Source organism: Homo sapiens, chromosome 6 (assembly GCF_000001405.40).
Source record: "Homo sapiens chromosome 6, GRCh38.p14 Primary Assembly".
In the NCBI taxonomy this organism is placed as follows: Eukaryota; Metazoa; Chordata; class Mammalia; order Primates; family Hominidae; genus Homo; species Homo sapiens.
This window is the reverse complement of record NC_000006.12, coordinates 161,076,152-161,099,275: the sequence shown is the minus strand read 5'-3', so window position 1 is coordinate 161,099,275 and position 23,124 is coordinate 161,076,152. Positions and strand designations below refer to the sequence as shown.

Sequence of the window (23,124 nt, the reverse complement as noted above, 5' to 3'; positions counted from 1 at the left end):
CTCTACTATTTTCTCCTCGGGGCTGAACACAGAGCCCTGGGTTCTATCAGAAGTTGATCTTTTTAGATCACATACCCCCAATCTACATAGTTTGGTTTGACTTGCATTGGAAGATGGGAATACTGACAGCGTTCCTCCTACTTAGGTACAAGTGTGAAATTGAGAGAGAACAACAGCTCTTCCTCCACTTAGGATAGGAGAACATGATGAAATCCTCTGCCAAAATATAACCAGAATGGGAAAACCTACAAGACCCTCCTTACTTACACAAAAGACAATGCGAGACTTAATTGTTCTGGGGCTTGCCAAGTTGTCTGAGAGTTCTCTCAAGTACTGATCTGTTCTCCATATGACATACAAACCCCATGAACTCATTTTTCCACTTCTATAAACTACTTCTAATCAACAATTATTTAAAATAGAGTATTTGGCTAGAAAACTGATCTTCCCAAAAAATAAAATGTTACCACATCAGATCATTAACTAGATGCCATCTTTTAACCACCTTGTGACTCCAGGCTCTCTCTGTGAGGCAAAATGCTCATGTCCCCTTCTGTTGTGGACCAGTCCTTTCCTATGATACTCCATCAAGTTATTCTTCGCAAAGTCTTTAGTCATTTTGGCTAATATCAGCTCCAAAGAAATACTGACATCAGACAGTTATCCATTCGTGTTGGTCAGTGCCAGAGCCTCTGGGCCGTGACAACCTGCGGAAGGCCCTAGAGCATCACTCACACGCCACAGCAAAGAAGCCCAACCACAGCCGGCACACACCCTAACACTATGGTTGCTGTGTAAGCGCATGTAAGGGGTGGTGAGGGTACGGGACACTGGTGGGGTGAGACTACCTGGTATCATGGGCACTGCTGATGGATTTGGGCAGCACAGAGTCACCACCAGAGGGGCTGGGCCGACTGGCAGCAACAGCAGCAGCAGCAGCAGCAGCAGCAGCAGCAGGGCTGCCATGGCTCCGCGCGTCGGAAGGCATGCTCCGAGTGCTAAGACAAGAAGAAAAGCTTCAGGAACACATGTGAGAAGAGGGAACGGACTTGAAAATTGTTTTCAATTAAAAATAAAATATGGCAAGGGGGTGAAATATATTTAAAAATATAAAATGCAAATTGTTCTTTGAGATTTGAGTCTAGGTGTAAAAAAGAAAAAACCTAACTTCAAAGCTTTTCTTTTTTTTGAGACAGCATCGCACCCTGTTGTCCAGGCTGGAGTGCAGTGGCGCAATCATAGCTCACTGCAGCCTTGACCTCCTGGGCTCAAGTGATCCTCCTTGCCTCAGCCTCCTGAGTAGCTGGGACTACAGGCACGGCCACCATACCCAGCTATTATCTTTGTTGTATTTTTTGTAGAGATGATGTTTTGCTACGTTGCCCAGGCTGTTCTCCTGGGCTCAAGTGATCCTCCCGCCTCGTCCTCCTAAAGTGCTGGAATTACAGGCGTGAGTCACCGCACCCCGGTCCCCTCAAAGCTTTAAAAAAAAAACAAAAAACTGTGGTCCTTATCTAGCAAATATTGTCAAATAAAATTAAACTTTTAAAAACTGATTATACAGGCGAGAGAAGGTGCTCACTACCTCAAGATGCAGAAATGCCACCACATTCAAGGCAGTTATCGTGAATGTACTATAGTTTCTGAATTCACTTAGTGTTTAAGTTGCTTTGTAATTACATATGCAGATAAAAATTGAATCTGGAAAGCTCATTCCAGTTTTTCTCCACTTTTAGTGATATTTAGTATGTTTTCAAATGTTGACTACACTATCCATATTCAAATTTGTTTTCTGAAGGTTATTTTTCAAAGGCAGGAAAGGAAAAAATGACTCCACAGCCAGAAAGCATGTAGTAGCTTGAGGTTATAAATAAGCTGAGAAACGAAGTTATCTTGAAAGGCACAGGTCTGTTTTAAATTTGCATGTCTTTTTCTTTTGCGACTAAAGGTTTCAAGATAATGCAAGTAAGAGCTTTTACGTACGAACAATGCAGAAAAGGTATTTAGCTCTCAGAGCAAGCATCTAGTAGTTTCAAAAGTATGAGCATGCATATCGGAGGGCACTCTGTAAAGCAAATGACTAGATAAGCACCAAATACCTGAATCCCTCTGGAGTGGGGATAATGAGGTGTGGGTTAGGAGGGTCACTATGGCATCGAGGTACCTTCATAGGACGGGGGCTGTTCCGATGAATGGCTGCCAGCAAAAATGGCAACAAATGCAACTTGTTAATATGGTCCACAGAAAATCATCAAACCAAACAGTCAAATGGAAAATAGAATGTCACTTATTCTGGCCAATGACCAAGGTAAGTCCATTTATATAAGTAAAAAATAATATTACATATACAAATATTATGGAAAATGTCACTTTTTAAAAGTCAGTAAAGCCCTATTATATATTAACAGTTTTCTCCATCAAAAAACATTTTTAAAAATCCTGGAGTAAAACATACATAATGTAAGCTAAACAAATGATTTAACCCATTTTAGAGATACATGAAAATGTGGTATCTCCCTAATAAAAAGGAGTTCTTTATGTTGTCTACACGTTAAAAAGATTGTGGTCACTGGCGACATTTCAAGAGGTCCTGCCTTTGAGGTCACTGTCATTGTCCTGAGTGCATGGAGTTTTATTCAGTTCCTTTAAACCAGATCAGGTAGATTTAACTGAGTCATTTTTTTCAAGAGCATGTTTTCTTCTCTTTTTCTTTTATTCTGGTAATAGGTAAATATGAATAAAATTTAAAATAAAAATTTAAAACTAGATAAAATTTAAAATTAGAGATCTTACCTAGTGATTACAAATATGCTGATAATTCCACTTTCCCAATAACTAGATGTCAGTATTAGTGGACATGCGTCATATTTTGCCTACTCTCCGTAACATGCTTTTCTCTTCTTCACTTTTACCACTCTGTTTTAACCCTCCTTAGTATTTTTTTAATGTCATAGTTTCTCTTCATGTTAATAATTTTAGTTTATATATGTTTTATCCCAAATAGGTTTTATCCTAAATGGAAATCCTGTTTCTTCATGATTTTGTTTCCTATTAATAAGGGGAAACAAGAGAGACAGAAGTAGTAAAAATGGAGAGATCTGAAGTTCCCTTACAGAACTTACAAAACAAAACTTAAGGGATTGTTAACAAAAAACCCTCAGGCAATTTGTGTCTCTGATTCATTATCCTAGCTATTACAATGGCAAATGGAAGAAATTCAATAGTAACAAATGGAAGAAATTCAATAGTAACAAAGGTTAAAAAAAAACAAAAGATTTGGTGAGTCTTTAATTGAGCAAAGATACTGGGAACTAGTCAAAAATTAGTAAAAATTTTCCTACAAATAAAGACATTCTGTTTAAAAAACCATGTGCACATGTTTTGCATGAAACAAAACAATTATTTTAATAGTAGGTATATGTAACACTGCAAAACTTTCCACTTCATTGGAAAGAAAATTCAAATAGCTAATAAGCAAAATGGATGTTCAAATTTCACTACTGGTAAACACTGATTATAGAGATGCTTTTCACAGCCAAAACAAACAAAAGCCCATCAAAAAATGGTAGAAAGAATTACAGTACATTCATGACGGCCACAGTGTGGCCAATGAAAAGAACAAGTGAGATCAATACCTGTTGACTTGGAGACATTTCTCCAATTGTAAACGAACCACCCTATATATGACTGTGTGATGAAATGGGCACAGAGAAAGGTACAGGGAGAATGCATTTGTGTGACTATATGAATCTATAGAAAATATGGAAGCTTACATACCAGGTTGTTATTTGTTATGTGCTTACAACAGAGGGAAAGGAAGAAAGTAAGCAACAATAACAACAAAATGACAGTTGATGTGCTCTCATTTTCATTCATTTCTTTTGTAAGAAAAGAACACAAAACCAAATGATGACCCCTGTTGCGTATGGAACACTAGAATTTACACATTGTTATTACTTATTTAATCCTCATTAGCATCCAGTTTCATTCATTAAAAAGAGAGGCTCAATGATGTTAAATGAGCAGCCCCAGGAAAATTGCTGTCCAGGCCCCCGACAGTTCAGTTCCACTAACCCATAGTGACTGAGAGGACAAAGGACCATGTGAGTCTCCAGAGAGCGCTATTAATTAACTGTCCCACTGCAGTTTGGAGTGGCAGGCATATTGAAAGATGAGCGACTCAGATGTTACCCGGGACTACCTTTGGATTCAGGAAGTATGAGTCATTTTTATTTTGTCTTTTGTAATCTTTTTCTACATTGATAAATTTTCTAAATGAACATCTTCCATATTTTTCTAGATACTTTTTCTATGTTGTGATTTTTCCACAATGAAAATGATTCCTTATCTAATAAAATATTTTAAAGTAATTCTTACTGAATTATCGATCATGTGTTCTTAGAGAAGTGTTTTAGGATATCAGAAAATCAAAATTATTCACAGCTTAAGCAATAACCTGATAAGACAATAGCATGCTTTATATAAAATGCTCAAATAGTCTTACAAATGTTAACTTTCATTTTCACGACAACCTTGGGAGAAAAAGAGGTATAAACTGAAGATTAAAAAACCAACAATTAAAACCCATTCTACTGAATTTTCTGCAGCCAGCAAGTACCCTATATGAAATACAGTTAGTGTTCAATAAATTTACCATTTATGAATTATATTTTGTGTAATTTAAATTGCATAAAATTTCTAAGTTTCTTTCTTGGGTGTTTATTACTTACAAATACAGTTTTGTTTTATTTACAAACTATCTCAAGAACGGCATAAGACACAGCTTTTTTTGACATATATTTTGTTTTCAACATTTCAACATATACTATAAAAGTGTTAATCATTCATTGTTACTGTAAAATTGTACATAAACTGTAACCAAAAATTGTAATTGAAGTAATATATATAGCAGCATAACTTAACTTGATTTTTTAAACAGTAAAACCAAATCAGAATTTACTACAGCTGGTGGGAAGATGGGTACTTGGGAAAGCTGTGGAGAAATGGACACTGCTCTCCTCAAAGGTGAGGAACGGGGGACAGGGAAGTGATCTGCAGCCACCTGCAGCAGGGGCAGTTCCTGTTGCTTGGCAGACAACGCCCTCTTCCAGTCTTTCCTCCCCATCAGAAAAGATGGTAAGGGGGAAAAAAGAATGGTAGTGTTGGTATAGAAAGAAATGTGTAATTGAATACTGCTGGCTGGTATGGAATAGCGTATGGCTGACGTTTTAATCTTCCTGTCAGATTTAGAAAGGTTGCTGCGGAGTTCTCTATCTACACACCTCATTTCTGTCCCTCTCATTGTCGTTTTCCTGAATACTGTTAAAACACCTCTTATACCATTTTAAACGACTGCAATTACAAGAGGATCTGTCCACTCAAATCATTATGTTCCAGAAGAAATGCTGTTAACGGCTGTCTTACCAAGGTACAAACCTGTAACAGGACTGTGTGGTTTTCCTATGACATGGCCAATGCATTCATTCATCAAGGCTTGTAAACTCTAGAAACCAAAAGAAAATGGGAAAGGTAAAGAGAAAACATGCATACTTTCTTAATTATGTAAGTAGCACAAATTAATTTTCAGTATATTTTTAAAAACATGCTACCCAAAATATTTTCAGTTAGTTTAAAAGAAAATAGGTATAAACACAAATTGTATGTAATTTAAAATAATACAGTGTATTTCATTTTTATAAGTAAAAGCAAATTAGCTGTCAATTTCCCATAACACAATAACGTGTACAAGCAAAGAACTTTTCATGTAATCGTCTCTACTACTGGGAGAATAAAATAAATGAATTCACACTTTGAGCAATATCATGCTAATCTGATGACACTTATCAGACTAACAGTGATAATATTTAACACGAGCATGATGCTCTCAAAATGATGCACACTGAGGTAAAAGAGCTAATCCTTGTTCTGCCCCAAAGCAGCAGCTATGATGGCAGTAAAAATATAAATCTCACAAATATTTTAGAAGGGCCAGGGTTTACAAACCAGACATTGACTTAGTTGAACACTAATGTTACAAAAAGAAAAAAAATCTTACTCTGCTATGAGGAGTACTTTAATTTCTCAGCATTATCATTACATGATATGCTGAGATTAATATCTCATGAAAAAAACCACTATTACATATAAAACATATACAACCAGAAAATAAGGAGTGACTGGCTTATTTTATAATGAAAAAAACTTTAGAATAATCCATACCAAGAAGTCATCTTCTGGTAAAGCTGAAATAAAGGCAGGTTCAATTGCTTGTAGAAAATCAAATCCTTGAGTCGCCCACCTGGTACACGAAAAAGTTCAGTAATCACATAACAACCAAGAAAACGCTGTAGCAGTTTTAGACTGTACAATACTGAAAAGTAACATAATTATAATTACTATTTAGGACAAGACACTTTTTTTTGCTTGGGTTCAGTAAGTTTACAGCGTGACCTTTTGGAAAGGAGAATAATTTTTTAAAATTTAATTTTGTTTTGAAACCAATGGGAAGCATGGAAGAGGATTTTAGACATGATAGGTGCCATCTGTAATTCAACAATTATTTATTTGTAATTCAACAAGTATTTATGAGTTTTGTAACACAAAGTTCCTACTTTGAATCTCAGATGCAGCAAATGTGTTTTCTCTAACTTGGAGAAATTGCTTAATGACTTTAAGAAAGTGCCCCATGCTATCCCTCCATTACAAATTACAGAACACTCAGCTATTTCTCACACAGTCATGACACTTTAATAACTATGTTTACTTTAGTGGAGCTAGTATTGAGCCTCACAGACGATTCACCCATTTCACCCCTGCAAATTCCAAAATGGTTTCTTAATGAATAAATTTCATGAGGGAGGAAAATACATTAGTCATCAGGAAGACTTGTCAAAGGAGAACATGAGTTCCCTTAAAGGTAACTCAAATTTGGAACAAATTTAAAAAAAAATTTTTTCCCAAGAGTTACGCAGTTTTCTCTACATATTTTTCCATTAAAAAAAACCTGATCACCGAAGAGTTTAGAGTGTTCCCTTCTGTGTCGTCTGCTCAAAAAGAATCCCACAGAACATATATGAACAAATACCACCAAGCCCACATGACACATTTCAGAAACATCCTACTTGGTCATTACCTGGGTCTTGTACCTCTACCACTCTCACATTTAGTCAGGACATAATTCATCCACTTCCGGGCAAAGCTTATATATTTGTCTCCTATCTTCTGTCTAAACTCCCCAGACATCAAACGAACAACTTCTTTATGATACTGTAAGAAGATTTCATGTATATCAACATTAAGGAAATGATCATTAAATAATATCACACACTATAATGCCATGTCTAAAATGTTTTCTAAAAACAAAAAGTGAAATCCAATTAAAATTTCTATATTTTGAATAGTATGAAGAATTATGGAAAGTACAGTGTTTCAAAATGCAGTTTCATAAATGTTTTACTCCTGAGTTTAAATTAAGAATGTGCTTTTATGACATAAAACATCTCTTTAAAGTTTTAAAATGTAAGTAGATGGCTGTTAGCACAAAATAAAAGTTGGACAATTACCTAACAGTTTAAAAGTAAACTAACATCTCTGATATACAGCAGTGATATAAGATGATATTCTTGATTAAGCTATGATTACAATATCAGATTTACTGTAAAAGGTTCCAAAAACTTTCTGTAAGTTATCAAGCAATTACTAAATTGTACCGTGTTTCCTCTTATTTTGAACCTACCTCAAATCCAAAATTGTACCCCTGAATCATTGCTTCTCGGTAGTACTGTTGCAAGGTGACAGATTCAGATTCATCAACCTCAGCATCAAATTCTGATGTGAACATGTGGTCCACGCGGTCAATGGCATTGCTTATCCTGTTGCATAGCTCCAATGCATCATTCTGAAGAGTCCAAACCATGATTAATGCAAAATGAAGCAAATCATACAATACTTACCACATTTTAAAGGAAGATTTCGTTCATCATCACACAGACATTAACCACTACAAACAATTCAGCCACTTGGTAAAGGAATTACCAAATATAGAAGAAATTATGTCATTTTATTTGGCATTCTTAAATAGAAGAGAAAAAAATGCATTTAAAATGATACAGTCTAGTTATAATCTGCTCTTGGAATAGATGCTTTTATCTTCAATATTTTTATACATCAACCACCTGTTGTTTTCTCCTCCTGGACGGTTGCTCAACCATAAGTACGGGTGCAATTCCACAGAGTGAAAAAGTCCATGTACTTCTAGATGACCTCCTCCGATCGTGCTGTCCTCATTTCCCTGCTACTCCCTAGTCCAGGGGTTCTCTTCTGGGGCAGATTTCTCCCCCTCCCCTCAGCGTCTGGAGACGTTGTCCAGAGAAGTTTTTGATGGTCAAAATTTGGAGGAAAAAGTGGAAGTACTGGGATATGGTGAGTAGAGGCCAGGGATGCTGCTAAACATCCTACAATGCGCAGGACGGCCCTCCACGACCAAGAGTTACGGGCCCAAACGTCCACATCCAAGAGGCTGAGAAGCCCTGCCCTGGCTCTAAACATCCTACAATGCGCAGGGCGGCCCTCCACGACCAAGAATTACGGGCCCAAACGTCCACATCCAAGAGGCTGAGAAGCCCTGCCCTGGCTCTAAACATCCTACAATGCGCAGGACGGCCCTCCATGACCAAGAGTTACGGGCCCAAACGTCCACATCCAAGAGGCTGAGAAGCCCTGCCCTGGCTCTAAACATCCTACAATGCGCAGGACAGCCCTCCACGACCAAGAGTTACGGGCCCAAACGTCCACATCCAAGAGGCTGAGAAGCCCTGCCCTAGCTCTAAACATCCTACAATGCGCAGGACGGCCCTCCACGACCAAGAGTTACGGGCCCAAACGTCCACATCCAAGAGGCTGAGAAGCCCTGCCCTGGCTCGAGCTTTTGTCACCTCTGTCAGCAACATCACAATAGCTCCAAATCGGTCTCTCTCTCTACCCACCCTTACACACGAGTGCACACAAGGTCTCCATCAGGCAATCCCCTTACTATGGTTACAAAATATTCTTCCAGCAATCCATAGAGAGAGATAACCTAAATATTTAGTTAATAAATGTTTATAGATAAATCAGACAAATCAGACCAACAGAAGAAAAACAAGTGTTTACGAAATGACTTGTAACTTCAGAGAATGTTTCTTCTTCAAGAAGTTAAGCCTTAATGTGAGTGAGAAGACATAACTGATGGCCTGGAAAAGTGTGGATGAGATCAAGACTGATACATGGGATACAAAATAGAAAGTGTCAAAAACAGGAAATAATGGAAAAAGACAGCCAGGCTGGGGCTTGTCATAAACTTTGAAAGGCCTTTGTACTTCTCTGCAACTTTTTTCTATTATATTTAATTTGGTTGAATTATTTATTAAACAAAACAATAAATAAATCTTCTATTACACACTGCTGATATGGAGTACCTCTAGTAAATACTGGGGATTGTGAAAGGAGAATGAAATTTACACTGGGAATGAAGAGACCTAAATTATTAAATTTTCAACTTTGCCACTAACCAGTCATGTAGCCATTATGAATAAGTCACATAAAGTTCAATTCTCTATCCTTTCCAATTATAAAGTTCTACAGCTTCAGGAAGAATCTCAGAATATGTAGTTTAGACATAAGAAAATATGTATTGGGAAGAGAGGTGAGTGGGCAGGCAATTCAGGAGCTCAAGTTCCTTGGATGATATTACCTTACACACATTACCACACACTGACTTTCATCAAAAAGGAAAAATCTCAGCTAATGTAGAGGACAGTGTAATACCTTCAGCTGCTGCAAAGCTTTGGCGATGACCGGCTGACTGGATGTCTGCTCCTGGCACAGAGTCATAAGTCCCTCAATGGACTGCTGGAAAGCTTTTCTCTGAATTGTGAGATGCGCAGACTGCATGACAACTAGTAAAAGATTATCCACCTGGGAGGAAAATCAAGCACAGGACATAAAAACCAACCCAGTTACTAGTTGTTATTCTAGTTCAACACCAGTCCAAAAACAATGCCAATCTCAGGGATACCAGGCCAACAACCATCTAATCAGAAAGTCATTTTTAAGCAAAGCTTCTCCTACACAGCAACACGCTTCAGTGGGCATTGACAGCTGGGATATTCAGCACCACGGAGAAGAACCCTTTGGGACTGCAGGCATGACATCTTTGAGATATCCTAGAACTTCAAGTAGTTCAGTACTGCCAGTGCAGAGTGTGTGTGAGTGTGTGTGTGTATGTGTGCATGTGTGTGTGTATTGGAGCAGCATATGAAGAAGGAAAATGTAGGAATAAGACAGAAATAAGATGAGGGGCCTTATATAAAACATTAAGAAATCAAGACTTTATTACTTTTGTTCTTAAGAGATGAAGAATCTTTGCAGTATTTTAAGTAGATCTGTGATGCAATCAGATGTATTATAATGATCATTCTAGAAGCACAAAAACAAACACAGAATTGGAGAGACAGAAGGTGAGGTTTGAAGCAGGGAAACTCAAAGTCAGAAACTGCAATAGTTCAGGAGAGGGATGGTAAAGTGCTGACTACAGCAGCTGCTCTGGGGATGCAGGGAAAGGATCATTTACTGGAAATGCTTCTGGCTTTCCAGGGCAAGGTATTAACTGGAAAGATGGGAGGCTGAATTTATATTAGCTGTCACACTTCTGGTTTAAACATGTGAGTGAACGCGGAACCATTCACTGAGACGGAATATAAAAGCAGAGTTGTTGGGGTGAGGGATACAGCAGGCCAGTGTATACTCAGTTCTGGTGAGGCTGAGCTCAAGGTGCATATGAACACTCACCATGACTGTTCCTAAGCTGAACACAGATAAATGAGAAAGCTTCTCATAGTTTATAACTAATGAGTTATAGAAACTGTCACGAGGTCCCTGTTAGGTAGGGAGGGGATAGCCTTCACTACAAAAAATTAAAATTAAATAACCAGTAAACCTGAGTACTTGGAGAACTGGGATTTCTAGAACTACAAATTATATTAGTGACATAACTCCTTTTAGATCATAGCTCCACAGATCTAACTACATGACTGAACTAAGAAAAGATATAAACCAGATAGATGGTTTATTTCAAGTATTCCAGTATAATTTAACTTAACAGAATGATATATTGTACAAATTATGCTGCAAAATGACCTATTAACACATTGAGGCATATTTTTGGGAAGTATATACTTGTGATTACTAGGGTAGTCAAACCCCTCATTCATGAGCAGCTAACAGTTCATTCTTACTAAAAGTCCTTGAAGTAACACTGCTGCAAAGATGGAGATGAGCTGTACCTGCATGCTTCTCAGGGTGTCAACAGTCTCCACCTGAGGCACGACTTTGACAGGCTGTGCCTCCCAGGTGCCCCAGCTGTCCTCTGAATCACGGGCTCGATCACCGTGCTTGGTCAGAAGCAGATAGGCATCGATGAGTACGTCATCTGAATCTTTTGAACAGTCCTTTCCTGCAGCTGCATTGAGTAACTGCAAAATAATACTCTTCTCCTCAGCAAGAGTGTCTGGAACAAACATTTGCAAGTTTTCTAACCCAGGAATTTGCACCTGCAAAAGACATAATCCAAAATCTTAAGGAACACTGTACATTAGAGAAATAGGTTATTTAAAACAAACCTAGGAAAGGAGAGGCAGGTTTGGGAAAGGGAAAGTGGGAAGGGCATGAATTGGAGCAGTGAGGGAACTGCAGGTAGCCGGCTTCAGTGTGACTGAAGGAGGCAGGAGGAGGAGAGTCTGTGAACGCACTGGAGGAGAGGCCTTACAGAGTCTCCCCGATTATTGGACATCCTCCTCACTGCTTTATTTTCAACAACAAAGAAAATACTCGACGGGGAGGCAAGGCAGCCTGAAAGAACCTCAACCACTGCTAGTTTGTGATGCTTACAAAAAGTCACCTGGCTTGGGAAAAAGGCAAAAATTGTTAATACAGATTCTCTAATTATTCCAGGGCAGGGAGCCAGGGGTTCATCACAAGAAGGCTCCTTGAGATCAGTTTCTCAAAGGGTACACATGTGGTGGCACGCTGCAGGTCATCCCTCCCACTCTCAGTATGGGAGCGGGATACAACTGTGGGCTTGGGATAAAATGTCCAGTGATGACATCACATACGGATTCTAACTGTGCTAAATCTCCAACAACTTAAAGTGGAGTAAAGTTGCTGACTCAAAAAGTGGCTCTAGTGATGACCAGGATCTTGATGTCAAAGATTCACTGTAAAACCTTTGAACTGCATCAGGAAATATAAGGGTGAAAAACAAAACCATAATTTAAAATGAATATTATCTCCTTATACACATTATTTTAAATATGTGTAACTAAATTAATAAACAGCATGAGTAAACTTTTTATTATTTATCTACACTCTGAAGACAAGTTAGTAAGTCAAGTATGAAAAAGACTGTTTCATTATTCCACTGGTGAATTACAGGACAGTCTTACAACTGGGGTTGTGGTACAGCCTTCAGAGCCTGTAATATTTACTATCTGGACCTTCAAGAAAAAGTCTGCCTGTTTTAGAATAAAGAAGGAAAGGCAAAATGTTTCAATCACAACATTTGAAGTACTTACCTTGACATACTGTTTTGATTTCAGAACATCCAGGAGGTCTCTAACTGGGGCTGAAAGCCTGAATTCTGCTGCTATTTCCAGGTCCTAGGATCACAGTTACAAAGAAACTTCTTTACGGTTAGCATTAAAAAAATAAGATAAAAGAAAAACAAGAAAAAAGGTACTAATTAATCAGGATTGCAAGCTCACCTTTCTCAACATTTTAGCAAATCCAAGTGCTTTGGAAGCCCTTTCTCTGGCTTCATGGAAGAGCTCCTTCAGGGCTCGACTGATCTCTATAACAGACCTCCTGCCAAGTGGATTCAAGTCCAGTTAGAACACATTAGGGAATATTCCAGAGGTGCAAGAGGGATTTAACAATAAAGATGAAGCAAATTCCAAATCACAGTAATAAATAAAGACTGAGGATTTTTTAAATGGGAACAAACTATTATTGAAGATGTAGTCAAAACATTCAGAAGCCTGCTCCTGACAGTTTTGTAGAAAATATTCATATCCTTTCAATGTAAGCAGGGCACATTTAATAACCTTCAAATAATAGGAAGCTCAATTTTCTTAACATTTCATTATGATCATTTCTTGGAGTTTAAGGTTAAGTTCTTAACTCCTGGCTCGTAATCTAAAAAGAAATCTATACAGTGTGATCTGGGAAATATTTAACAACTGGGTGACCCTAAATTACTATCTTATGTAATGCATGCCGATTTCTGTGGTGTAAATACTCCCATCATAGCTAATTTCAAGGCAGCAGTATGATGTCCCTGAGCAATGAAATGGGAAGAGATGTGCATGATCAGCTCTCTCAAGCCGGGAGAAGCAGCTCCAGCACACCACTGCCCATGGCCCCCTGAACTGGAACCGCTCTCTAGTTCACCATCTTCATTCCTGCCTTCTCATGTTTCTTTGGAATCTACATGCTTGGGGTTATTTTGAACCCACCATGTTAGCTCTCAAAACTGTGAGACCTACAAACTTATTTATTCCATTTCTCAGCTATTCAATATTTTCCCAGGTGAGAAACCATGTGGGAACTTCTTTCTTTAACCTTGGCATAAAAACATACCAGGTGTTCTGAAACTCAAAATGTGTTTTTCATCAAACCTTGAATGGTGAGCGAAAACATTTTCGCTTTGGAGAAGTCAGTTCTATATGAGCTTTCGCCAAGTTTGACTCATATGACCTTGCTGATTCTATGGCCACAAAGTTGCTATACGCCTGATATATATACCACAAAGAGTAGCAATTTCAAAAGTTTCGACCTAAATACCATCTGCACAGAACTGGAGGAAATTCAACAGAGAAAAACCATAGTTTCATACACTTAAGTTTAAAGTTCAACAGAAGGAATGCACTAAGAATAAAAATGTACCAAATGTCATTAAAATGTATTAATGGACCACTACACAGATTTTTTAAGAACAGAAACTAATATAAAAGGCATCCCAGACAATGTAAATAAAGAAAATTCTACTCATTTTTTTCAGTCAACTTTATCTCTTTATCTTTAGTTTTTTTTTTTTTTGAGACGGAGTCTTGCTCTGTCACCCAGGCTGGAGTGCAGTGGCATGATCTTGGCTCACTGCAACCTCTGCCTCCTGGGTTCAAGAAATTTTCTGCCTCAGCCTCCTGAATAGCTGGGATCACGGGTGCGTGCCACCACGCCCAGCTGTTTTTTTTGTATTTTTAGTAGAGACGAGGTTTCACCATCTTGGCCAGGCTGGTCTTGAACTCCTGACCTGGTGATTCACCCACCTCGGCCTCCCAAAGTACTGGGATTACAGGCGTGAGCCACCGCGCCCAGCCAGTTGGCACTATTTTTATCACACTAAATAAATTCTAAGTTCCCCTTCAAAGAAAATTTCACATAAAACCATAACTAAGAAATCACATGAAAAGACAAGGCAGTTATAAATAAATCCCTTTACATCTACTGCCCAAATTCTTCCAGGCCAACACAATTTGGTTTGAACAAGGCTCCTTCTAGGATCTCACCATGAGGAAGGAAACTACGAGATAAGAAGTGGAAGGGGAAAGGAAGCACAACTCCAACCTGATTTCGTCGGAAGCACTGCTGTCATCCGCACTAGTCCAAAATTCAGCACAGCTCTCCTGTAAGCCAAATTCTAAAAAACTTCCTGTAGATTTCAGCAGCATTCCTGCAATGTCACTAAGGGAACAAAAATAAAAATAAAACAGAGAAGAAAACTGTCCCTACTCATAGCCTAATTCTTGACTGAGAAACTTGAAAGGCTCAGCTACTGCTCTAATGGTTTAAAAATCAAAAATGAAAAATTTCTCTTCTTTTAATATAAAACCCTGGACGTGGAAAAATAGGAATCTGGATTATGACATGTACCTACCTTTGTTCTACTACCACAGTATCTCAATATAAACCTTAAAATCTTAAACTGTATTCATAGTAGCTATGGAATTAGTACACAAATGTTATTTCCATCTAAATGGAAATTTTCCATAAAATGGCCTCAAACTAAATGATAGGATAAGAGGGAAAGGGAATTCCTTAAATTCAACTGTTTTTACAAATTTCCCCCACAATTAGCTTTGTATAGTCAATAAACATGAAACACTCTATCTGGCTGATCCTTCTCATTGAGTACACAATTCTAAATACTAGTGTTAAAATGTACACCCCAGTATATAAAATGAATCTAAATGAGTGAAGTAAAATTCAACCACAGTTTACTGACTTAGGATGTTCAAGGAAAAAAACTTAGGATCTAGTAACAGAGAGCAGGTAAGCACAGAACTAATATCAGATGCAGCAGGAGGTAAGTGCTAGGCTTGTCGGAGGAGGAGAAAGACCAACCCCGAAGGCACAGTTTCAGACCCATTGAAGGCATGGCTTCATGTCCAGAAAGCCCTGCAATGGGCCTTGCAGGCAAATGCAGAATTTTAACAGGTGGACTAATACTGGGAAAAGGAAAATCTGCGAGGAAGAAAATGGAAAAGGCGGAAGGAAAGTCCAGGAAGAACAATAAATATGATTAAAAAGCATGAAGATGTAGTCAAGCAAGCATGTTCATGAAAAAAGAAAATCATCCAATCTGAAGAGTAGTGGGTATTTAGGCTACAAAGGGACAGGGGAAAGTCCTGCGGCCATGCTGTGGAGGGCAATGGATGTCATGCTCATTAGTTTGGCGTTTGATAAGCAAAGAGAGTAAATTTTAAAATATCTGATTGGGAAAGGGGTCTGATTGGAAACAATGCTTTTAAAGAACATTATACAAAAATACTAGAATGTACTTATTCAACAAATATTGAGTGCCTATTACGTACTAAGCAGCAGCAAACAAAACCAGTAAAAGCCCTCCAGTGGATGGAGAAACACAATAAATAAAACAAAAATGTGAAATGTATTTCAGGTTATTGGTAAGTGCTATGGAGAAAAGGAACAGAGAAAAAAGCTAAGGAGTTGTGGGTAGGAATTTCCATCTTAAATATACCGAGAAGGTAACATCTGGATAAAGACCTGAAGGAAGTGGGGAAACAAGTCATGAAAATAACTGGGAGGAAGAGCACTCCATGCAGAGGGGCCAGCTGGTGAAAAGGGCCTAAGGCTGGAACATGCCTGGCCCGAGACAGTGAGGAAGCCACTGTGGCTGGGAAGCGAGCACAGGACAGGAGGGTCTAGAAGGAGGACAAAGACGTAATGAGAAATAGGACCATGTCAGGCCTTGCGGGCCATTGTTAGGCAGTCTTACGTTTCCTGAGTAAGATGGGGAGCCACTGGGAAATTGAGAGAAGACAATGGTCTGACATACACTTTAACCAGACCATTCAGGCTGTGGTGTTGAGAATAAACTCTAGGAGGCTTCAGGCAGAAGTAGGGAGACTGTTTAGAGAGCTACTGCAATAACATACGTGAGAAATGACAACCTGGGAAGAGTGGAAGTGTGGAGTGCTTGAGAGGCAGAGGTCAGATTCTGGATATACCCTCAAAGGGCACCCAAAAAGAGTCGAGGTAGTGTGTGCAGGAAACAAAGGAGTCAGCGCTGATTCCAACACCGACTGACCCTGGGAGAAACAGTGTTTGAAGCCGGAGCTGCTGCTCTAATACAACAGATAAAATGCAGTGGAGTCCAGAACTAGAATAAAAGTGGACTGTTCACAAGAAGGGGGAATGAAAAAGCCCTGGAGCTTCTCAGGGCGAGGATCATGAAAGCAAAGGCCAGAGACTGCACTCTAGGGAATTTGAAGGACAAGCAAAAGATAGAAACACAAAGACTGACAAGAGGAAGTGAGGGTACAGTGACACTAAACAACATGAATTTGTAGTGAAACTAAAGAGTAACCTTTAAAAACATTTCTTCAACAAAGCTTGACAGGTTGGAAACAGAAAATGCAAACAGAAGGAATTAGGCAAAGCAGAATCATGGAAAAGTAAGGGGGGAGACATGTTGCAAATGACAATGAATGCCTTTTTTAAAAAGGCTGACTATGGGCACCAAGCTGAACAGACAAGCAAAGACAGCCTGGGGATCACAGCCTGACGGATGGAGTTATGAGAGGAGAGCAAGTTCACTGTCCACTCCAAATAAAGAGAGAGGATGTAAAAAGAACTGGCCATTAGAACAGAGAAGTGGATACGAGATTCCGAGACTGAACATAGGAGAAATCGGCAGAGTCAAGAACAAAGCTAAAGCTAGAGTCCTGCAGAAGTCACGCTGACGGGACCAGGAGACAGGGTAGGCAGCAGAAGCTGCTGCTCTAATACAAGAGACAAAATGCAATGGGGTCTAGGACTAGAATAGGCATGCTCTTATGAATGAGACTTTATAAAAGGGATACAGAAAAAATAAAATGCCTGATGAGACAAGTGGGAGAAGGTGGTGCCAAAAGACAGCAGCAGAATCTAAAGCACAGAAGGACACTGATCCTCATCTGAGCCAAAGCAAGTCCGAGGTGCAGTGGCCACCAGCAAAGACCACGGAGACGCGGCCTGTGCCCAGCGATCCCAAGCTTGCATGCAAGATGTTCATTTCCTAGAACTGACAGACCAGCCCTGCGACTCTGCACTGCTCTCTTCATGATTCCCCCTTGTTTACACTTCTATTCCTTCACCCTATATACACCCAATTCATAAAGAGAGTCTGTGATGAGCACTACATTCCCCAAACAGTGGCAGTAAAAATGCTTAAAATACTTCTTAAGTTCTGCATGTCCCCACCAAGACTGATATACGCGGGTATATTCTACTCTTGAAGGACTTACAATCTCCTTCCTTTTATTAGGGGGAAAAAGAGTTTATTCTAGGGCAGAAGTTCTCAAGTTCAAAGCTGACATCTGAGTGGATAATTCTGTTGTGGGGCTGTTCTGTGTGCCGTGAATGTGCGGCAGCCTCCCTCCCCCCGCCCACTCGCTGCCAGGAGCATCTTCCCAGTCATGACCATCAAGTGTCTCCAGATACTGCCCAATGTCCCCAAGGGGAAAAAATCACCCCTGACTGAGAAACACCACTCAAAACTTGGAAGAGGGTGCACATATGAGATATGGATAACTGCAATTTTCATGTAACTAAACATACAAACACATAGGAGAGAATCAGTGAGTAAATGGTGTGAGAGTGAGAAGGTGGGAGCGTCGCGTTCAGAAGCACAAGGATTCCTACCAGAAAAGCTTCCCGGCCTGTGCTTCTCCTCCCCGTATGTAATGAGTTATTTCTTTGGTGAAATTCCATTCTTCTTCTAACAGATTTTTTAAACTATGCGATGCTTGAGGTAATTGCTGTAGCATTTGGATCCAGCTTCTCATGTAATCAAAATACACCTTAAAACACAAAAAGTAAAGGGAGACATTTGAAAGTAGAACTTGGCAACTCAGCGCTCTCACCTGAAAGCTACACATCAGCAGGGTAAAGTGGGGGCGGGCCGGGGGCTGTCACAGGCACGCAGCACCGACAGAAGCAAGGTTCTCACCACTGTTAGCTGAGGTCTAAATGAGGATTTTTTAAAAAATCACAAAACTAACTCCCCAGCAATTTAACATATTATTGACAACCCCTTCAAAATCCTAACAACAAAAATGTTCACAATCTACAATAAAGGGGAAAAAATCAAAAGAACAGTACCCAGAACTTTTCATTATGAATGTACTGTCAACATTATTCCTTTAAGAGGTTAGGATCTTCACTTAATGACCTACTTTAGCTTGAAATGGTGCCTTATGTGCAGAGAGGAGGACGTCAACACCCTTCTTCGCACCACCCCTTCCTAACATCCGGATTTGCGTGATAAAATGTTTTCAAGGCTTGCAACATATAAATGATGATCTAAAACCAAAATATCCAGTTGTTCTGAAGTGGGATTTATGCCCACCACAAGTCCTATTACAACAGCTTTCCCGTTCTTAAATCCTCCTTTAGATTTATCCCGTGGTCAGCAGGGTTCAACTATCAAGCAGTTTTTCTCAACAGGTTTGCAATGGCCACCTTCTAGAACAACCCTGTCTATGGACTCCTTTACTTAAAAGAATAGCTTGACGGGGTAGGAGATATTTGAGTCACACATTCTCTCTCGGAACTTTTCAGACATCACTCCACTCCCTTCCAACCCCGAGTGTGACTCAGCGTGAAGCAGTCTGTCGCCAACCTGAGCGCCCACCCACCACTGCTCTCCCACATCCTGAAGGTGACTACACTCGGGTGTCCACACTCAGATGTTTACAGGATTCCTTTCTCTATCCTAGGTTTCAGTGTTTTCACCAGGCTACATCTCAGACTTCATTGTTGGGAAAGATATTTTTCTGAGATCTAGTAATAACTTTCAGTAGGCAAATCTGAAGTCTATTCTTTATCTCAAGACAACTGTCTTCTGCTGTATCGTTCACTGTGTCTGAGTCCTCCATCCTCCAGGTGTGTGGTGTGACTCTGAAGTTCTGGGTCTGTTATGACTAGAGTTGTGTGTGCAGAATCTGCAATTCATGGGTCTACAGTCCTCAACACGAGGCTCAGAACCGCCCTTTCACTTCTTGGTGAGCTCCCCCATCTCCGTGTTTTTCCTTCCTGAGGACAGCTTCTTCCTTGCGGCCCCCAAGGGGCAACTATCTGTCTTTTTCTTTTTCTTTCTTTTTTTGAGATGGAGTTTCCTCTTGCTGCCCAGGCTGGAGTGCAATGGCACGATCTCGGCTCACCGCAACCTCTGCCTCCCGGGTTCAAGCGATTCTCCTGCCTCAGCCTCCTGAGTAGCTGGGATTACAGGCATGCGCCACCACAACTGGCTAATTTCGTATTTTTAGCCGAGACGGGGTTTCTCCATGTTGGTCAGGCTGGTCTCAAACTCCTGACCTCAGGCAATCTGTCCACCTTGGCCTCCCAAAGTGCTGGGATTACAGGCGTGAACCACTGCGTCCGGCCAACTCTCTGTCTTTCTATGCACTCAAAGGCTGCAAAGTCAGCTTCCTCCTGTTCCCACTGCTTTTTTTTTTTTTTTTTTCTTGAGACAGGGTCCTGCTCTGTTTCCCAGGTTGGAGTGCAATGGCATGATCTTGGCTTACTGCAACCACTGCCTCCCAGGTTCAAGTGATTCTCCTGCCTCAGCCTCCTAAGTAGCTGGGACTACATGTGTACACCACCATGCCCAGCTGATTTTTGTATTTTTAGTAGAGACGGGGTTTTGCCATGTTGGCCAGGCTGGTCTCGAACTCCTGACATCAGGTGATCCACCAGCCTCGGCCTCCCAAAGTGTTGGGATTACAGTCGAGAGCCACCGCACCCGGCTCCAACTGCTCCTTTTAAACCATAATTTGTATATATTCTTCTTTAGAAAGCAAAACAAAAGACCCTACCCCTTTAAGATTTACGTCATCAGCCACACCACTGGCCCCCTCTTCAGACTGTCACCTATGGACTTCTAATCGGCCTTCATCTAACAGTCTTTCCTCCATCTCGGGCTCGGCCACCCTGCCGTGGCTTAGCATCATGCGGAAAACCCACCGAACACTTCTTCAGTCCAGCTTCCTGACTGCCTCCATCTCCAGTGGCCCTTTCTCCACTTTTGATGGGGTTCCACCTTGGATCTTGTCATTGCCAGAACTGCTCCAACCCCCAAATCACCAGTTCAAACACCTGATAATAAAGCCCCCTCTCCTCCTTCCAGGAGATTTGTTCAACCACTACCACTGCAACTTGTTTTAGCCCTGTCTGGAACCCAGTCCACTGACTGCTCATCTTTCTGCAACTCACAACCCCCTCCTTTGTTCGCTTTCCTCTGGCTTCAGTTCAGATCCCATGGGCTTATCCTTTCAACTGCACTGCTATCAGCATGCTGGCGTCCCCGCTGCTGCCTGCACCCTGCAGCCCCTTACTGTCTTTTCATCTCACCTGTTGGTCAAGACCCCAAAGCTGGCTTAAGCCTAACCATCCCATTCCCCCTGCCCACACTCAAGGAGCTGGGGGGACTAGTCATAATCACCAGCCACATAACATTTCTGGGAGTCATATTTCTATCTCTACTTAGCTCACTTTCCTTCTGTCTAGAGCCACCAGTTTGAAACTTCCCCATTTTCCTCCAACTGCCAATACCCACCACCACCCATTCTCAGCAGATGATCTCTACCTCTCCACACAAAAATAGAAGTCATTTGGTATAAAATCTTCCTGGTCCCAAACATGCAAACCTACAGGGTTACATCCTCTCTTCCTCCCTTCTTTATAGCAGAGGAACTACTGTTCCTCCTAATCCCAAAGCTTGTGCTTTGAGTTTGAGACCCATCTCCTCCAGAAGTCTGAGGAACCTCACCCTTTTCTCGTATATACATATTAATACATATATATATTTTTTTCCCATCTCTTTCCCTTAGTTTGCAAAGTCAAGCCTGAGGGCTTTCAAATGCCCTCAGCCCAATTTAAAACTCCTCACCGGACTCACATCTTCACCACTCACACAGCTGCAGGAGCTGGACACCCACAGTCACTCCCAACACCTTGTTCACATTTGATCCACCCGAGTCCTGCCATTTCACTGCCTACGTTTCCTTTGAATCCTTATACTTCTTTCTGAATGTATGTTACCCCCTCTAATCCAAGGACTTGCATGTGCATTCCTGGAATGGCCTTGAACTGTTCCTCTCACATCTGCTCTGGACCCCCAGCCTACTCTCCACCTGCAGCTGGAGCCCCCACAGGCTGCCTGCGGTGCCTTGCTCTTGCCAGGCTCCTTTCCCAAGCGGACCGCACCTGCTACCAAAAAGGGGCTTCTCTTGATCCCTCTCTTTATAAGTTAAAAAGCAAAGAGGCTAAAAAAATTCTAAAAAGTATTCTACAAGTATCACCCAGAATAAACAAATGTTAGTATTTTGTCATATTTGCTTTAGATATGTTCTTGTTGATTTTTCTTTAATTTTTATTTTAAGTTCCGGGGTACATGTAGATATTTTTTTCAATAAGAAATAAGGTACCAGAAAGTTAGTTTCTCCTTTGTTCTCTCTTCACTTCTATCTCTTTCCTCCCTCCCCAGAGGCAACAATGATCATGAACTGAGCACATTTCCTTCTAGTCTATACGCTTTTTAAAACAATCTCTTATTACAGAAACTACAATATATAGTATTGTTTGGTCTACGTTTTTCATCTGTTACCTAAACTGGATTATAATGTATATAAATTTCCGATAAGTTGCAATGCTCCCCCCTCAGAGAAGCCTGACCTCCACAAAAAGTTGAATCGAATTAACCAGTCCACAAAAGACCTGTGCCTTTCCTGAGGGCATTTTTCTCAGCTGTAGTCTTGTTCACATGGTTCTACAATCACCATGGACCCCCCTATTCTTAAACTCTAAGAGGGAGTTTACGCTCGGCACTAGTTCCTTGGTCCCCGCATGGTGCCTGCCTGGCACACAGTGGATACCCAATAATTATCTGTAGGATGAAAACTTAAGAGCTTCCCTGCTTCTTTGCTCTTTGTTCTTCTGCAGAAACTCAAATTGTGTACATGTGAGCTCTCTTGTGTCTCTTCTACAACTACCACATCTCGCCTATCATTTTCATATTTTCAATCCTTATAAATCTTTTTAAGTGGTTTCCTTAAGGCTGTCACATGTTCCTACATCATGTATTATTATGTTTATTGTCTTGGTTACTTCTGAGGCCAGGGACCCAGGAAATGAGATAACAATTCACAGCTTTGATTTAGATTTGATGTTCCAAATGCTCACCAAGTTACTTCCTTTGACCTACATGCTTAAGTGTCTCAGTTTTTCGAGTACAGTGGATGTCCTAACGCAGAGTAAAGCCCCCAAGGTCACAGAATTTCTGCATCATAACTTGCTAATCACTGCTTCCCCTCCCCCTGCTAAGAGAGCTCCCATTCGGCAGTCTTCCTGACAACCAGAGAAGGCTGCGGTATAGCTCGCGCTCCTTCTGTCGGGCAGCTCTTCAGTCAACAACAGAATCCCTGGAGAGACAGGCTCAGCTTCGGTCATGGCTGTCACACCCCTAGATATCAAGGCTCTAGTTAATCTCTGGGTGGGCCTTCTGGGCCTAAGGCGGACACGTATTTAGAG

The 23,124-nt window shown here is 40.5% G+C and overlaps 1 protein-coding gene across 7 annotated transcripts in view, besides 1 other annotated feature; it reads right to left on the bottom strand.

The window, feature by feature from the left end:
* MAP3K4 (mitogen-activated protein kinase kinase kinase 4) overlaps nucleotides 1–23,124 on the bottom strand; it is a 125,612-nt gene that overhangs the window by 18,105 nt on the left and 84,383 nt on the right. For 4 of the 7 annotated variants that reach the window (NR_120425.2, NM_001291958.2, NM_005922.4 and 1 more), the window contains 12 exons: nucleotides 18,238–18,395; nucleotides 14,659–14,775; nucleotides 12,798–12,897; nucleotides 12,609–12,692; nucleotides 11,322–11,588; nucleotides 9,805–9,954; nucleotides 7,736–7,897; nucleotides 7,133–7,266; nucleotides 6,220–6,298; nucleotides 5,425–5,503; nucleotides 2,100–2,196; nucleotides 849–998 (listed from right to left, as the gene is read on the bottom strand). Coding sequence is in view for 6 of the 7 variants with exons in the window: in NM_001291958.2 (NP_001278887.1) it covers nucleotides 849–998; nucleotides 2,100–2,196; nucleotides 5,425–5,503; nucleotides 6,220–6,298; nucleotides 7,133–7,266; nucleotides 7,736–7,897; nucleotides 9,805–9,954; nucleotides 11,322–11,588; nucleotides 12,609–12,692; nucleotides 12,798–12,897; nucleotides 14,659–14,775; nucleotides 18,238–18,395 (1,577 nt within the window). In the remaining variant the exon portion in view is untranslated. The remainder of the gene's footprint in view (nucleotides 1–848; nucleotides 999–2,099; nucleotides 2,197–5,424; nucleotides 5,504–6,219; nucleotides 6,299–7,132; nucleotides 7,267–7,735; nucleotides 7,898–9,804; nucleotides 9,955–11,321; nucleotides 11,589–12,608; nucleotides 12,693–12,797; nucleotides 12,898–14,658; nucleotides 14,776–18,237; nucleotides 18,396–23,124) is intronic. The other 3 variants (NM_001301072.2, NM_006724.4, NM_001363582.2) reach the window with 3 other exon arrangements.
* Nucleotides 18,579–19,778: an enhancer, noted in NCBI's record as "MED14-independent group 3 enhancer chr6:161500530-161501729 (GRCh37/hg19 assembly coordinates)". NCBI's record gives its function as "activates an origin of replication core promoter dependent on BRD2, BRD4, P300/CBP and CDK7 cofactors, and independent of MED14, by STARR-seq in HCT116 cells {active_cell/tissue: HCT116}" and the evidence as "EXISTENCE:reporter gene assay evidence [ECO:0000049][PMID:35650434]".